Source organism: Homo sapiens, chromosome 6 (assembly GCF_000001405.40).
Source record: "Homo sapiens chromosome 6, GRCh38.p14 Primary Assembly".
Lineage (NCBI taxonomy): Eukaryota > Metazoa > Chordata > Mammalia > Primates > Hominidae > Homo > Homo sapiens.
In genome coordinates this window covers 33,908,661-33,925,378 of record NC_000006.12, presented here as the reverse complement: position 1 = coordinate 33,925,378, position 16,718 = coordinate 33,908,661, and the positions used below count along the sequence as shown (strand labels likewise).

The following is a 16,718-nucleotide window of genomic DNA, read 5'->3' as shown; positions in this document are numbered from 1 at the left end:
CTCTGTGTTTACAACTTGGAATTGGCCAGGGTGGATGATTTAGATCACGAAACACTACAAACCTGCAACTGCCACAAACCAGGTGTTCTCCTTCAGAGAGCTGGGTGTTCAACATTTCCCAGCACACCACAGTCTTGGGGCAACCTGTCAGGGCACTGCGCCCTGGGGACTGCAGTGTGGGGCCTGGTTTATTTCCTTAGCACCTGAACCCACATCCATGTAGTGTACTCAGTAGGAGCTCAGTAGGCATTGACTGCACTGAGTTCGATGGGGATGGAGAGGAAGCCCGCTTCTAAGAAGCGAGCTGCATAGATAGCGTGGCTTCCCAGGAATCAGGTGGGGCTGTGTTCACCTCCAGACCTGGGGTCTAAATTTGGGACAAACCTGCAGGTATGGACAGACACTCCCTCCCCCATGGCCTCAGTCTCCAAGGAGTCCCTCTCTCACCAGACCAGCACCCACACACCACCAGCTGCCTCGTCCGGGAAGGGGATTGGGCCTCCATGGGGAAGTAGGCTCTGGAGTATTGCTGAGTATGGGGAGGGAGGGCCCTCAGCCCTCTGGGGAGGACTGGGTTGGAGGGCCCCTGGGGCAGTGGGCAGGCCCAAATCATGGCTGTCAGGTTCTGCTGGCTGAGTTCCTGGGAAGGCTCTGCCTGTCAGCCCTGCACTAATGAGTCCTCCCCAGGCTCTGTCCTCATGCCTCTGTCCTAGCCACCTTCATTGCCTTGTTCCCAGGTGTCCTCGTCCTTTTCAAATCACCTCCAGTGGCCTCTGTGTCCCTCCTCTATCCTCTCTGCATAGTAGGTCTTCGTCGGCACTGGGAGGGAAGGGAGAGGAGGAGGCAGGGTCTTGGTGCTGTGTGTTAGGATCAGGTTTGCTGCACGAGAATGATGGTGGCTCCCATAAGACGTTTCTCTCTCTCCTTACCATGGGAAGTCCAGGGCTGGGATTGGTGGTGCCAACGCTATCTGGTTGCTCTGCCATTCTCATAACGTGGCTCCCACATCATGGTCCAAGGTGGCAGCCATCGGTCCTGTCTGCCTCTGGCCAGCAAAGCAAAGGAGGAAAGGGCAAGAAGAGGAGCATGCTGGTCCCTTTGAGGCACTTCCTGAAATCCACAGGTGGCAACTATTCTGGCTCTCATGTTCTTGTACCTGAGCTGTGGCCCCCGTGCACTCAGAGAGGAACTTCTTTTGCCTCCAGGTCCAGCCTTTGTCCCAAGAAGGCAGCACTCCACCGGCAGGGGACCCCAGCAAGCCTTGTCCAGGTGCCAGGGGTACACGGCTGTGGGCTCACCTTCCTGCCTGTGGCCCAGGAAGCACTCCCATGTGACCACAGCCTCTGTGGCAGGATGCCAGGCCCCGAGGAGCACACCAGATGCTGGAATTGCCATGGAGCCCACCTTTCCATGGGGGGGACTTTCACATGTGCAGGCTGCCCAGGGCTGGGGGTGTGGAGGGAGCAGTTTACAGTGCCCACCATCCCGTGGGCTGGGTCTTGTGCCCTTAGCAGTCAGCCAGATTGTGCCTGGTAAACCATCTCTACTTCTTTGCTTTCTTCTTTCTAATTTCCTCCAGGAAACTCTCTGAGTGTTTGCTGGGCTAAAACCTGAGGAACTGGGGAGGTGATTAGAAGAGTTTCAGGAACCAGGCACCCAGGGAGGCAGGGCAGATGGTGACCTCCTTACAAGGCCAACAAGACTCCCCCACCTTCCAGGGCTGGGACTCAGCATGGTTCTCCCCAGCTCTGCAGATCCCGGGAGCATCCACTCAGGAGCCGGCCCACCCAGGGTTAGCCCTCCCAGTGGCTCGGCCTCTCGTGTGACTCTTTTTTTTTTTTTTTTTTTTTTTTTGAGAGAGGGAGTCTTGCTCTGTCACCCAGGCTGGAGTAAAGTGGAGCAATCTCGGCTCACTGCAACCTCTGCCTACTGGGTTCAAGCAATTCTCCTGCTTCAGCCTCACGAGTAGCTGGGATAACAGGCGCCCGCCACCAGGCCCAGCTAATTTTTGTATTTTGGTAGAGGTGGGGTTTCACTATGTAGGTCAAGCTGGTCTCAAACTCCTGACCTCAAATGATCCGCCCACCTGGGCCTCCCAAAGTGCTGGGATTACAGGCATGAGCCACTGTGCCCAGCCGAGACTCTTCTTCAGGCCCCATTTCTACCTCCCCCAGCTACCCTTTCTCTTCCCTCCCAAGTAGCCCTTGCCCGCCATCAGGGCTGGTGTCAGGGGCCTCTGTGGATTAGGAATGAGGGCAGCAGCGGGATCATGTCTCTGGGACCCCAGGTGGGCTCACATAGGCTCCCTGGCCTCCTGCTGCTTTTTTGCTTCCTCCACCTCCACTCCCCAGGCTCAGCTCTACGGGGGCTCAGTAGGCAGTTCAAGGAGGGATGCCACCAGGACTGCGCCTCCACTCCGGGCCCAGTGGGGGTTGTGTCTCTGGGCAGAGAGCTTCCCCAGTGGCTGTCCCCATGGGCCCACCAAGCTGTCTCATTCAGAGAGGCTGAGAACTGGCAAGGAGGAGACAGGCTGTCACTTCCCACCGGTTGGAGAAGGCACATAGTAGGCATTAAATAAATGCTATTCTTCCCAGCTTTCTCTTCCCCTGCATAACATGAAGTGCTTTGTGAAAATTTCTGGTTACTCATAAAAATCTTAAATAGCTCTCACTTTATAAGTGTTTAAACAACTTAAAAATGTAACCACCCCATCACCCAGTTTCCTTTTCGTGTGCTAGTTGGGGCTGTGTTTATATACACGGTTATGCTGCTGAAAGAAAGGGTCTCGGTGGCCACGACGCTACAAAGCCGGATGCCTGGGGTTTTGGTAATTGTCTTAGTGTATTTTGTGTTGCTTATAATACAATACCTGAAACTGGGTAATTTATAAAGATAAAGAATGTATTTCTTACAGTTATGGCAGCTGGGAAGTCCCAGGTCGAGGGGCCACATCTGCTGAGGGCCTTCCTGGGGCAGGGCCTCTGCAGAGTTCCCAGGCAGGCCAGCTCAGGTCTCTCTCCCTTTTATTATAAAGCCACCAATCCCACTCCAGTGAAAACCCATTCATCTACTAACCCATTAATCTGTTAATACATGAGTGGATCGATCCTTTCATAAGGGCAGAGACCTCATGACCCAATCACCTCTTAAAAGCCCACCTCCCAATACTGCAGCACTGGGGATTCAGTTTCAACAGGAGTTTCGGCGGTGATAAACATTCCAGCTATAGCAGTAAGGGTAGCTGGTGCAGTGATGTGCTTCATCTCTTCTTGGGCTGGCCTCCATGTCAATGCCCACTGCTGAGGCCACTCCCTGGGGCTCCTCCACTCCCTGATTCTGTCCCACCAGAAAGCGACCCACATCCACCCTTCCTCCTGGGTCCTTCCTCTTTCTCTTGACTGGGGCTCCTGACCTCGCTCTGGTCCTCTGTGCTTCAGGCTGCTGGGCCTGCCTCACCTCCACCCCGCTTGGCCATAGCCCCACACCCATCACATCCATAGTCCGGCTACCCAGTGAGCTGCCTCCATGGCCCGTTCCCAGAGCTGCTGGGCACATAACATATCCTACCTGGAGCAGGCCTATGGGCACCTAGCTGGCCTCTAGTTAGCCCCTTCTCATCCTCAGAGCCCTCTGCCTCTTGGCAGAAACCACACCTCCTATTTCACAGAGAAAGAGAAGCTACAGGAGAGGAACCCTGACCTCCCTCCCATTATTGCCCCTCTTCCTCTCCCCAACCTGCCGTTCCCACCAGTGTTTAAATACCTGAGGCCTCCCTTCCAAATGGGAGCACCTCTCCCAGCCCTCACAGGGCCTAGACGTCAGGGCCGTACTGAAGTCGAATTCTGCCATCACCCCCGCCTCCTCAGGGCCCATGCGATCGAGGCAGCGAGGCCTTGGCTGGCCGTGCCTCTGCTCTGCTGGGATTTCCCCCCTTCGTACCCACATGGCTCCCTCTTCCTCATGGTCCAGCGCAGCTCTGTCCAATTTTCCTCTGGTTTAATTTCCTTTGCTGCACCTGCAGCTCTTGGACATAATATTAACTTGTCGTGCGTTTGTTTTGTGTCTCACCCTTTCAGCAGAACATCAGGTCCAGGAAGGCGAGTGCCTGTCTGTCTTGTACACAGATGTATTCCCAAGGCCTTGGGTGCGTGATTGTGCATCACAAAAGACTTACTCCATGAATGAATGCATGAATAAGTGAATGATCATTATTCTGATTCTATAGGTAAGGAAACTAAAACAGCCCCTCCCTGGCCACTCAAGCCTTCCTGCTTCTACCTGGCACACCCTTCTTCCATCCTGGGCTGCTCTCCTGCCTCTGTCTGCACTCCAGCCCTGGGAAGCCCTGCCCGCACTGGGCTTACCTCCTTTCACTGAGCTCTTCATCCATAGGCTAGCTGGGATTCTTCCTCTGCACAGTCCCTGTTACCGGGCATGGTTCATACCAAAGCTCCTTGAGTTGGTGAAAGAGAAAAGGGGATTTATTAAAACAAACCCCAGTGGCTCACCTGCCTTCAGGAACAGGCCAGGGGTGTCTTAAATGGGCTTGTGAGGTGTCTCAGGACAAGCCATGTGCTGCAACACCCAGAAGCAGGGCTTAACCCTGCCCCTCTCCTCTCTTGGTACCTGGGACAACCCAGGCTGAACTCCTAAAACTCTTAATGGCCGCCTCTCAATGATTCAAAGGTCCTGCATTTTCTGATTCCTCCACCCCGTTCTGCAGGAGCCCAGTGAGAGAGTTTTCTGGGTTAGCCCTGGGGGTGGCTGAACTCATGTTGGAAATGATCCCTAGAGGGGGATGTGTCTGTGATGGGTCAGGGCACTGCCCCAAGCTCATTATTGAGGAGAGCCTGAAAGGCTCCAAGATTCCATCACCTCCTTCCCTGCTAGCCTCAAAACCTCCCAACCAGAGTCTGCTCACAATGAAGCCAGGATGGGCTGGGAGTCAGGAAGGTGCAGGGGGTCAAGGAGATGGGATGGGGCCAAGGAGGCAGTTCCTAGGGAAGGGCTCCAGACACCCACCTGCCACTGGACTCTGCCAGGGCCGGAAGGTGTCTCAAAGGAGAGCTGAGACTCATTTTGCATATTCCTTGCCTTTCACCCGTCTTCCTGGTTCCCAGTGGCAGGATGGTTTCCTCCCTTGCAATGGCCCCTGTACAAACAGCATAACTAGGCGGTGGCTGGATCTTCAGGGACCCTTCCATGCTTTTGGGCCAGATACCCACATCTTCCATCTCTCTTCCTCAGGGGCCTCCAGGGTCTTGCACGCAACCTTTGCAAATGGACATGGCCTCTTCTGCCTATAATTTGCCCCCTTCTTCCATCCTCTCCCTCTGCACAAGCTACCACTGTGCACCTGGTTTCCCCAGGCTCGCATTTTCTCTGTCTCTGTCCATCTCTCTCCCTATGTCTGTCTGTCTGTCTCTCTCTCTCTCACTAGCCACCTCTACCCCTTCATCAGTCTTTAAGCCTTGTGTCTTCCAAGTCTCTGTCTCCATCAGTTTCCCGAGCCCAGCTTCTGTCATCCCTGCTTTATAACCGAAATGGTCTCCTAAACAGCCCTCTGCCTCCAGCCTGGCCTGTGCCACCTGCAGGCCAAGGCCTTTCTCCAGCCCACACCAGATCGTGCCTCTGGTCACTCCTCTTTGCTGGGCCCACAGAGCCCTGTGTACACTGGCCTGCCTGCCCCCAACTTCTTCAGGCAACACCCCAGCTAGTTCCTCCCAGCTCCTAATGTCATCCGCTGCCCTCCCAGATCCTTTCACTTGGCTTGCTCCTGTCCACCCTTGAGGTCTTAGTTTAGACATCTCTACCTCCTGGAAGCTCCCTCTGCCTGTTGCCCCCTCTAGGCTGGGATTTGCTCCTCTCCTTTGTGCTTTCCAATGCGCTGTGTGGCCCCATCCTGAAACACTGCACTGCAGGGCCCTCTTGTAATGGCAGGGACCGTCCTTCTTACCTTCCACCGACTCTGCAGTAACAGCCCAATCGGCAGGAAGGTTGGTGAAGCCACGACTCTGCTCTCAACATGAGGGGCCTTTCCAGGGAGGGAGGAGGGGACAAGGAGGCCTGGGGAAAAGCTGATGGCAGAGGCAGCTACGTCAAGACATGGTCAGGATGCTGTGCCCAGGACCCCTCCTCCCTGGCCATCAGTAGTGACTGCGCTCAGGGAATGTCCAAGGTGGCACTGCTGGAGGAGATGTGAGCAGAAGGTGTGAGGCCTAAACAGGCCCAGCCTGCCTGTTGGCCTCTATCTCTTTCCTCTGGGCATGGGGCCTTGAGGAACATCAGCACTTGTGACCACGAAGATGGAGGTGACACACTAAGGATAGCAGAAAGATGGATGGGGTCCCGATGGCCTGGGCCCCAGCCCTGGACTGCCTACCTCCACATAGCAGTGGGCATGGCTGCTGTGCCTGGCCCATGGAGCAAGTCCCGGGGGAGATTTTCCACTCTCCTGGGATGTCGTGGCTCCTCACTGTGGACATGAGGCATCTCCTCCCCACCGCCCACCCCCCCAACCTGTGCCATCATCCCTGCTCTGGAGACCCCACTCCAGGCACAGTCCTAGGCTGGGAGCACAGTCAGGAGATCCCCAGGCTCTTTGAGTGTCTGTTATTTTATGGTGTAACCTTCAGTCTGGGTTGAGGCTCCCTTAGTTCTCCCCAGCCCTGGAGGAGGGGTTAGTGTGTGATCGCTGACTCTTGTCTGGCCCTACTCCCCTTGGTTGTGGGCTGCCATGGAAACCCACTGACCACAAGGCTTGTCCCCTGACCCTGAGGAGGCAGTCCCCTGACCCAGCCTCCTGAGGTCATCTGGACCCCGAGTTGGGGGCCGTGAGCTGGGGGGTGTGAGCTGGTGGTCGTAAGCCAGGCTCAGCCTCTGAAGTCCAAGCCCAGAGGTGCACATTTGGCTGATCCACCAGACTGTTGGGTCCTAGACCGTCTGGCAGGACACGGGACTTACAGCCCAAGGCCTGGCCGGGGCTGGGCCCCGTTTTTCAATGTCAGCACTTTGCTCCCTGTTTCTCAACACTAAAGACCCTGTCAACACCTTGGAAAAGACCAGGGGATGCTGGCAGCTAAGGAAGCCTCTTGGAGCTTGAAGAGCTACATACCCTGATAATGATGGTGGGCACTAGGCAGCCAGGTCTGCAACCTTTAACCAACACAATGACTGGGTAAAGAAAATGGCATTCCTTTATTTGGTTGACAGCTTTTAAAAAATTGCTCAAATGCCCAGTCTGGTTTAAAGTTCAGTCCCATTTGGAATCAGGAAGAGTCTCCCCAGACCCCAGGTGTGGCTGGCTCCTGTCTGCAGAGAGGGGCTCATTGTCCTCCTGGGTGTGGGTCTTGGCTCCTCCTTCTGGCCAGAACAGCACTCTGGCTGGCGCTCTGAGCTGGTTGTAGTTCCACGCGGTCCAGTCTAGTGTCCACACTGAAGTGACCCCCACCATGCTGGGCACCTCTGTAGCCACACAGCCTTCTGGGTCCTCCTTACAGCATGTGGAATCAGGGCAGGTCAGGAAAACCAAGCCTTAGTGACCTCCTCAGCCTGCCTATGCAAGGTGGCCAAGGGGCAGGTGTGTGCCCAGGTGGCCATAGGGCCACTCGCCCTTCATTGACTTTACTTAGCTTGTGATGGTTCTCCTGCTCTGAAGCAGAAACATGAAGAAGGGTTTTTCTCTTTATTCTCCTTCCCAGAATCCTTTGGTGCAGGCAGGGTCAAGTTTTTCCCTTCTCTTTTCCTACCCAGACCTCACTTAAATAAAAATTCCTTACAGAGTCCAACTCACCAAGCCTGGCCATCAGCAGACTCCTAAAAATGATTCAGGAAGGTAGACCCTCTTCTTTCAGAACCAAAGCCTAGGTTGCTACCTCCTGGGATTGCAGCAAAAGCCTTGCTACAGAACCAGGAGCTGATGATTACCTGCACCACCTCTTTCATTTTTTCTAGAACAAACCAGAATGCTTCCATATCAACTTAGCCATAATGTCAGGCCACCTCTCTCTCCACTTGTGTTGCGGGAAGTCAGGAACCCCAAATGGAGGGACCGGCTGAAGCCATGGCAGAATAATTGTGGATTGTGAAGATTTCATGGACATTTATTAGTTCCCCAAATTAATACTTTTATAATTTCTTACGCCTGTCTTTACTGCAATCTCTGAACATAAATTGTGAAGATTTCATGGACACTTATCACTTCCCCAATCAATACCCTTGTGATTTCCTATGCCTGTCTTTAATCTCTTAATCCCATCATCTTTGTAAAATGAGGAGGATGTATGTCGCCTCAGGACCCTGTGATGATTGCGTTAACTGCACAAATTGTTTGTAGAGCATGTGTGTTTGAACAATATGAAATCTGGGCACCTTGAAAAAAGAACAGGATAACAGCAATGTTCAGGGAGCAAGAGAGATAACCTTAAACTCTGACTGCCGGTGAGCCAGGCAGAACAGAGCCATATTTTTCTTCTTTCAAAAACAAATGGGAGAAATATCGCTAAATTTTTTTTCTCAGCAAGGAACATCCCTGAGAAAGAGAATGTGTCCCTGAGGGTAGGCCTCCGAAATGGCCGCTTCGGGGGGCGGCCGTCTTTTATGGTCAAAGCTGTAGGGATGAAATAAGCCCCAGTCTCCCATAGCGCTCCCAGGCTTATTAGGACGAGGAAATTCCCGCCTAATAAATTTTGGTCAGACCGGTTGTCTGCTCTCAGACCCTGTCTCCTGATAAGATGTTATCAATGAAAATGCATGCCCGAAACTTCATTAGCAATTTTAATTTTGCCCCGGTCCTGTGGTCCTGTGATCTCGCCCTGCCTCCATTTGCCTTGTGATATCTTATTATCTTGTGAAGCATGTGATCTCTGTGACCCACACCCTATTCATACACTCCCCCTCCCCTTTTGAAAATCACGAATAAAAACTTGCTGGTTTTACGGCTCGGGGGGCATCACGGAACCTGCCGACATGTGATGTCTCCCCCAGACACCCAGCTTTAAAATTTCTCTCTTTTGAGCTCTGTCCCTTTATTTCTCAGACCGGCCGACACTTACGGAAAATAGAAAAGAACCTACATGAAATATTGGGGGTGAATTTTGCCCTATGTCTGGCTGAATTTCCCCCAATACAGTTGTATTCCTGGGTTTGTTCCCTTGCTCCCAGATGGCTTTTTCACATGGAAACTGGCTGGTCCGAGACCTTTGTGTGAATTCTCCTTTGTGGAATTCACCATGGTGGTGAATATTACCCTAAGTCCATGAAGACATCAAAGCCCTATCCCACCCTGAAACCACTGGTCCTTGCTCTCGTGTATGGATTCAGAGCCCTGCTACCAGCTCCTCTATACCTCCACACTCTTCAGCCAGGGACAGCATTTTAGTCCCCTTCCTGTTCCCAGCCCAGTCTCCTGGGAAGCAATTCTTGCCTTCTCTGTTACCCCATTCTGCTAATAGGGTGCCCAAGTCCCCACAGTTACTCCTCTGCCTTCCCCACTGTCAGGGTCCCAAGTGCCTGGGTTTCTGCATTGGTGACTATTTTGAGCTAATTCTTAGTTCCCATCCCCCTCAACTTCACCTGCTCTAACTTCCTAAGTCTATGTATCCCCAGAAACCTAAACAGCTTAAGGATGCTTTAACCCCTTAACAAAGATGTTTTGCATCTCAGAAAACCCAATCCCTGATGCTTACAAAAGTGGCATTTCTGAAAACTTTTGAAGTCAGACACCTTAGCTTGGATTCCATTACCCCACCCAGGGGAACCTGTGAACCAGACCATAAAGAGGCAGGATTGTCCCAAGCAGGGCCTTCCTTTGAAGGCCTTTTTTGTTGGCATTCCTGCTCAGAAAACTCCCTCCTGCATCACCCACTGAGGTTTGCATAAGGCCCTCCACCAGGTCTTCTCTGACCTGTGGGAGTTGGGTCCTGAGGCTACTGGGGAGTCTGAATGACCAATACATGGAGCCTGTCACTGCCTCCACCCATCCCCAGCTCTATACCCCAGCTTCCAACTGGGACAGCTGGTCTCACTTTCAATGGGGCCCAGCTGTGCTGCTTGAGTCTCTGATTTTGGCTCCCGTCCAGCCCCACTGACTTCTTGCAGCTTGGGACTCCACATACAATATTCAGGACCAACAAGATTTCAGGTAACCTTCAGGAGACTCCAGAAAATCCAAAGTGAAAACAGAGCCTGAAGACCCATGAAGAATTCAGCTAGAGGAAATGCCCTTCTCACCCGTCGATGTTTCTGGTTGGTCAGAGACAAATGTTTTGTGATCACTTTTGAGATTTCTTGAATCTTTTGAATATCCTTATGCTATCCCCTTCTCTGTTCTTAGCTGAGAAGCATTTAAATTGCACAGGGACTCTGCATTTGACTGGGAGATAGTGAAAACGCAGGGAGCCAGAGCTCCCATCAGCAGCCACTGTGGAGGGGCAGGGAGAGGAACCGCAGAAGGTTGAGTAGGCGGTTGCAGCTGTGAACAGAAGAGGAAGCTGTGATGCAGGGGCAGGCGAGCCCCAAAATTGGGGCTTAGCCCAGGAAGGTTCTTGAGTTCGCTCAGGAAATAATTTGAGGGTGAGCCGGTGGTAGAAGAAAACAGCTTCATTAGGCAGCAGTTTTTCAGCTCCGTGACTGTCCCTGCAGAGCCGGGCTACCCTGTAACCAGCATGTCAAGAGTAGCAGCTCAGGGACAGTTCCACAGTCATTTTGACACCCACTTTTGATCACATGCCAATTGAGGGGTAGATTATGCAGAAATGTCTGGAAAAGGGGTGAGAACTTCTGGGCATTGCCATAGCAATGGTAAACTGTCATGGCACTGGTGGGCATGTCTTATGGAGAGAGAGGTGCTTTTGGTGCCTCTTCTGTGTCAGCCAGTCTTCAATCTGGTCTGAAGTTGAGTCCTGCCTCCTACTTCAACAGGCCTGAGATCCCAAGGCACAAGCAAGAAAGGGACCATGGGGAATGGACCCAAGATCAGAAACAGGGACAGGACCTAACTGGCAAAAGTCCTGTCACTCAGGGGGACAGGGGACAAGGAGTGAGAAGTGACTGCGATGGGGAGCTGGGGTGACATGGGGGCAGATTTGGAGAATGGCTGGTCCATGCAGAGGAAATGTCCAATGGGGCACCTTGTTCCGTTGGAGACGGTAATGTGGGAGATGCTCACCAATTCCGAGCCTGATGGACAAGAGTGAAGCATCCAAAGTCACGGCTCATTCTCCATTTCCTGGATCTAGACACCGAGTCGCAGAGGCTCCTTGAGGCTCAGACTTGAATGTTCTTTGGGGATGCTATGGGATGAGGATGGAAATTCCATTAGTGGTGTGGGGCCCAGCTAAGGCTGGGCAGGCAAAGAAGACGCAGAGGTAGGTGAAGGGCAATCTGCCCTCCTCCACCCTTTCTCTCCTTTGTGGAATTTTGCTCAGCATTGCCCAGCAGACACATTTTCAAGGGAAGGACTTCAGCCCCAAATTTTCCCACTCAGACCAGTGTCAGCTTGAGGCTCCTCTTTCCCAAGCCCAGAAATTTTCTCTCTTAAAAAGAAAAGATTCAAGCTCCCTAGCAAGCATAGAAAAAGGATAGGCACCCCTTAGAAGAAAGACACCAGTGTCATCAGCTAATTCCATGGTGAAGTTCTTAAGATCTTCCCCCGAGGATCCCTGCCCCACTCCTGCCTCCATTTACCAATACTTCCTGAACTCTGAGGTGGGGGAACCCTGTGGGCTGGCGGGTAGAGGGGGATCTCAAGGTAGCCTCTTTTCCTTTAACTCCTTATTGTATTGGGGGCCCTGATGTGGCAGTGATGGTACAGTTAGCTAGGAAAGAAAATGGGGCTGGGACTCTCGTGCTAAAGCTGGAAAGAGGTCAGGGTGAGCCACCATCCAAAATCCCCAAAATGCTCGGGGGCCGGGGCAGACAGGTGTGACAGCCCTGCCTGTGCCTGGGCACCTAACTAAAGGCCTGTCTGGAAACCCTGCTCTCTCCCTGCTGCCCATTGCTAGACAGGCCACTGTCTAGTAAACCCCATAGGTTCACTGTGCACAGCACCACACTTCCCACTCCATCAGAGGCCGGGGACCACGCCTCTCTCTCCCCCACCCTCAGAGTCCCCTCTGCACTGTCTGGCCCTCGAGGGCACCAGGCCTGTGCCTGGGTAGGGGAGCAGGACTACACATTTTTGGTTCTTCTTCTCCCTGCCTCTGGGGGTTCAGGCTCAAATGAAACTTGTGTTGCATCCCATTTCACAGATTGCTTAGCATACCATCTGTCAGGGGGCAAGCAGTGGCCGGCCCAGGCCCAGAATGGATTTTCTACCAGGGCCCAACAGGCCCTCTCCCCAGTGAGCAGCTCCCCCACAGGACAGCTCTATTCTGTCCTGGATGAGAGACAAGGAGGTTTGCTAGGACCCCACCCCAATCCCACCCCACTTGAGACTTGGTGCCTTCCCAAGTGCTGTCATCCACCCACTCATCCATTCAACAAATACTCACTGGCCACTGTCTATGTGGGCCCTGTTCTAGAAGCTGGGGCACAACATGGTCGAGAATGACCACAACCCTGCATGGAGCTTCCCTTCTAAGGAAGCAAGAGAGATACCCAACAAAGAGAAGAGGTGGATGAGATAAATTCAGACAATGATAAGTGCTGTGAAGAAAATACGGGGACCAGTGTGACAGGGCAGCCTTGGGCATGGGCCCAGGAGCCACAGGAACTCAGAGAAGACCTTTTCAAGGGGGATGTCTAAGCTGAGCTGGAGGCATGAGGATGAGCCAGTAGTGCATAGGAGAAAAAGTGTTTCAGGAGCAGCCAGACAGTTTTTGTTCTGGGAATGGATCTATACCTCCTGTGGCTGGAGTAGCAGAAGATCTCACAGGGAGAAAGGGAGAGAGGCCCAGGGGAGGAGGAATGGAGGGTGGAGCAGAGGCCTCCTCCTTAAGGAGAAGCAGCTGGCTGTCCTGGCCTCCTGAGAGGCCTCTCTGGACAGTGTCTGCCTGGCTTGTCTCTGATGGGATCCCTGCCCACGTCCTCTCACCAGGAGCAGCCCCTGCTGCCCTTGGCTCAAACTAGTATCACAAGAGAAGAAGCACAACAGCTTAAACCAAGCCCTGGCTAAAATCACATCTGAGTTCCTGTCCCCTACTTCCAACTCTGTTCTGTTCCCTCCTTAAACCATAAGACAATTTTAAGAAGAATCTATTAATCCCTCATTGTTCAGTTCAATCCCACGTGTCTTTACCGACCACCTGCGATGTGCCCTGTTTTCAGGCATGCCAGAGCCTGGCTGTGGTCCCCAGCTCTAGGCCCTGGAGGGGACGTCCTACCTTCTCTCCCTGTACCCTAAACCTGACCACTTCCCTCCTCAGTTCTGACCTCTGAGCTGAGCTGGCAGGGATAATGACGGATTCTATGTCCCCATGGTCTCGTATGCAAAGCAGTGACTCCAAAGCTCTCAGCCCATCCAATTTAGACAAGAGGTCTGACTTAGGAAGCCTCTTGGATCTGCCTCCTACAGTGTCCGAGCCTACACCCTTCCTGAGCGGACTTTCTCTTCCTGGTCCCCTCACCCCTGACCCTGGGTTGCCTGAGGCTTCTCTACATTCCCTTGAGGTCCCTTGAGGGCCCTAAGCACCCAGTCTAACCCCTTCATCGCCCCTGGAGAACTCATCGCTTCCACCCAGAGATGCCTGCCATCAATCACCCTGTCATCTGCTGTGAGAGCAAATGTCATCGCTGTCTCCAGCAGGTGCCAGGCTTATTCAGTATCCATTAATATTGAACCATCAGCCACCATTACATACGCAGGCAGGTAGCATGTAGGCCAGCTTCCCTGATTGCTACCAAAACCCTTCATTTATCCCCCCAGGTCAGGAGGGGGGTGGTGGGGCAGAACGTCTTGTCCTCAAGAAGTTTATCATCTTGCTAGAAAGAAAAAGAATGCCTAGGGAACTCTTAGAGAGTAAAACAGAGTGACGCCTAAACTGAGCATAATAAAGGCTAAATGAATCTGGGCTGCAAAAAAAGTGGACTGGGGAGACTGTGTGGGCTGGAGTGGACAAAAGGGGTTTCGTGAAGGGGAAGGGCTCCAGCCAGGCCTTAAAGAGTGGACAGAGAATGAGAAAGAAAAGTGGGAAGTCGCAGATTCCTAGATACCAAAGAATAAAAAATGTCGCAGCACTCTTGAATGACACCATGGAATCCCTAGCACCGGGCAGAGGACGATCCAGCGGGAAATGAGGCTCTGCCTCTGTGGTCCTCTGTGTGCCTCCAAAGCCTGTGGTGGTTGGCCTGTGAGTCCACACCAGCTGAGAGCTGCTGGGATAAGGAACGGGTCGGGAGAGGCTCTGGCTGCAGGAGCTCAGGTCACTGGATTTGGGGACAGTCAGAGGGAGACAGGCAGTGTGTGTCCACCTTAGTTTCCAGGGAAGAGGTGCTTACCGCCTGCCTGGGAATGGGCTGACATGGACTGTGGTTGGTGCAGGCAGGCAGGCAGCAGGTAGGGAGGGGAGGGCAGGAGTTGGAGCCACAGCCAGAGACAAGGCCCCCAGAGTAGGCAGCCTGCAGAGCTACAAAAGAGTGGCTGCAGAAGACAGGTTTCTACTGGATTGCTGATCCTTTGGTCACATGTGGTCCAAAAGTGGGCCTCATCTCCCAGGCATCCTTCCCCCCTGCCCCCCCAGGCCCAATGCCCGTCCCTCAGCCTCCCTGAGCTGGCCTGAACCGCCATGGAGGTCTGCATCTTCTCAGGCTGCTTCTCTCGGCCTCCCCCTCGCTATCTCCTTAGCCCCTTTATTCACTTGCTCCTGGATTCCAGGATCTCCAGCTCCAAATCAATCCACACTTAGCAAGCGTCCACTGCCGCCCTCTCCACAGGCCTGAGGCTGTTTCTGGTCACACAGCAGTTCCATTCTATGCCTCCCACCCCATGCCTGGAGATGTGCATTTCAGCCCCAGTGTTTTCATCCTACTCTCCTGTACATCCTCAGTTCCATTGCAAGCTGCAAGACACAGTGGGGCTCTGAGACCAAACGCAAAGGCTGGACGAATGGCTCTAAGCTGCTGGGAGTGAAGCGTGAATCAGGGCAGTTTTTCAACCAAAATAGGAAAAAAATACAAATCAGCATCAAACTGCATGAGATTCTGATGGCCACCAACCCTGTGACAATCAGTGATCAGGAAGACATGGAAAGGCATTCAAAAAGAGGGAGGCAACAACAAAATTGATCTGCCTAATCTGACAACTGACAGGCCTGGGGCGTAGCAGAAAAGGCAAGTATGTAATAATCTCTCCACAAGTGCCACCAGGCTAGAAAAGCAAGTGTTGACACGGAGTGGTTGGCGTGGAGTATCGATGAAGGCGAGTGGAAGAACTCAGGCGTTGGCCTTGGTCAGTGGTGAGTGGCCACAACAGAGTAAAAACTCTGCAGCAAGATAAGAGACTAGGAGGTGCCCACGGGTCGGGTAAACACACAGTTCTACTGTACGTAGATAAGCAAACAGCTGCAGCAAAGCTGTGTCTTCCTTAATCACAATATCCCATCTTATTAATTGCCCTGAAATGTCCCCAAAGCTTCCTAGAAGGCTGTCCTTCCAGGGGCATCACTTTTCTGGGTGATTAGTTCAATGCGTCGTCCCTGGCATGGCCACTCCCACCCACCCTCGGGATGAAATGTCCTTCTCTTGGCTCCGACTGCCAACTCTCTCATGTGGATGACACGCCGAGGTGCGGCTCTTTGTTAAGACACCTGGCAGCGTCCTCAAATATAGAGTTTTCAAATCCACAGAGAGAGGAAAGGAACTGGGCTCATTCTCCAAAGTGACAGACCCTGGAGTAGGAGGGCTCTGTGACGGGGCATTGAGGCTCCCGATGCCCACATAATAATATTTAATGCTGTGGTGGCAGAGTGGGCCCCAAATATACCCCTAAAATACCTCATTTCAGGAAGAGGAATGATGATGAAATGTGGTCATTGGTAAGGAAAAATATCAAAAGGAACTGTTTAAAGAGCAAAAACTCCACAGGAAGCCTTGGAGAATATTTGAAAATGAAAAAAACAAAACAAAGCAAAACAAAACAAAAAGTGTCCTGCAGAACAAAAAGACTAGGCCCATAACTGGATGTCACAGGCAGCTAAATGCAGAGCCTTAGAGGCCACTGGGAGCAGGGAGCCTGCTGGGAAAGAGGGCTGGAGAGGGGGCCTCATTCCCCACCCACACCTGAGGGGCTCCTCACAGACCTCAGAAGCAGGAATTAAAGAATGTTCAGGGCTACAGAAGGGTTCCATCAGGCTAGAATGAGCGCGGGACACACAGAACCCCAGACACACACATTTTGCAAATGAATGACAGACGTCCATCCGGTCTGCCGATGACACACGGAGGTGAGGGAGAAGCAACATGGAGCACCCTGTCCAAATCGGCCTTCTCACATCCAGAGCCTGGCCACCCCGGGTTGTCTTCCAGAAACCTTAGACACTTTAGCCAGGAGTGATGCCTCTACCCTTCTTGCCAGAACTTGGGCAAAGCCCTGGTCACAGATGATGTACACCCAAGAACTTTGAGCACTAGAACCCTCTTTACCCACCATAGGCACTGTGACTATTGTTAATTTAACACTATTATGAAAGCCTCAGAATCCTTTTTCTGGTCCAGACATTGCAAGGCCTCAGAAACATTTGCCCCCAAAACCCGCAGCAGGGCTGTTTTGAATCCACTGCACA

At 52.8% G+C, this 16,718-nt stretch overlaps 2 long non-coding RNA genes across 3 annotated transcripts in view, besides 2 other annotated features; both read right to left on the bottom strand.

The window, feature by feature from the left end:
- Positions 1–682: 682 nt before the first annotated feature.
- On the bottom strand, positions 683–5,141 carry LOC124901307 (uncharacterized). The gene is made up of 4 exons (XR_007059556.1): positions 5,023–5,141; positions 4,365–4,453; positions 930–1,045; positions 683–819 (listed from the first exon to the last, which is right to left on the bottom strand). It is a non-coding gene; the product is annotated as an uncharacterized LOC124901307 (long non-coding RNA).
- Positions 5,142–7,178: 2,037 nt separating this feature from the next.
- The window catches only part of LOC105375026 (uncharacterized), a 25,072-nt gene continuing 15,532 nt past the window's right edge, over positions 7,179–16,718 (bottom strand). Inside the window, exons 2-3 of one of the 2 annotated variants that reach the window (NR_187841.1) lie at positions 11,168–11,291; positions 7,179–10,922 (exon numbers count right to left, since the gene is read on the bottom strand). This is a non-coding gene — a long non-coding RNA (uncharacterized LOC105375026). The remainder of the gene's footprint in view (positions 10,923–11,167; positions 11,292–16,718) is intronic. The other variant, NR_187840.1, reaches the window with a different exon arrangement.
- Positions 10,379–10,528: an enhancer, noted in NCBI's record as "active region_24374". NCBI's record gives its function as "activates an Ori minimal core promoter by ATAC-STARR-seq in GM12878 lymphoblastoid cells {active_cell/tissue: GM12878}" and the evidence as "EXISTENCE:reporter gene assay evidence [ECO:0000049][PMID:35858748]".
- Positions 10,669–10,738: an enhancer, noted in NCBI's record as "active region_24373". NCBI's record gives its function as "activates an Ori minimal core promoter by ATAC-STARR-seq in GM12878 lymphoblastoid cells {active_cell/tissue: GM12878}" and the evidence as "EXISTENCE:reporter gene assay evidence [ECO:0000049][PMID:35858748]".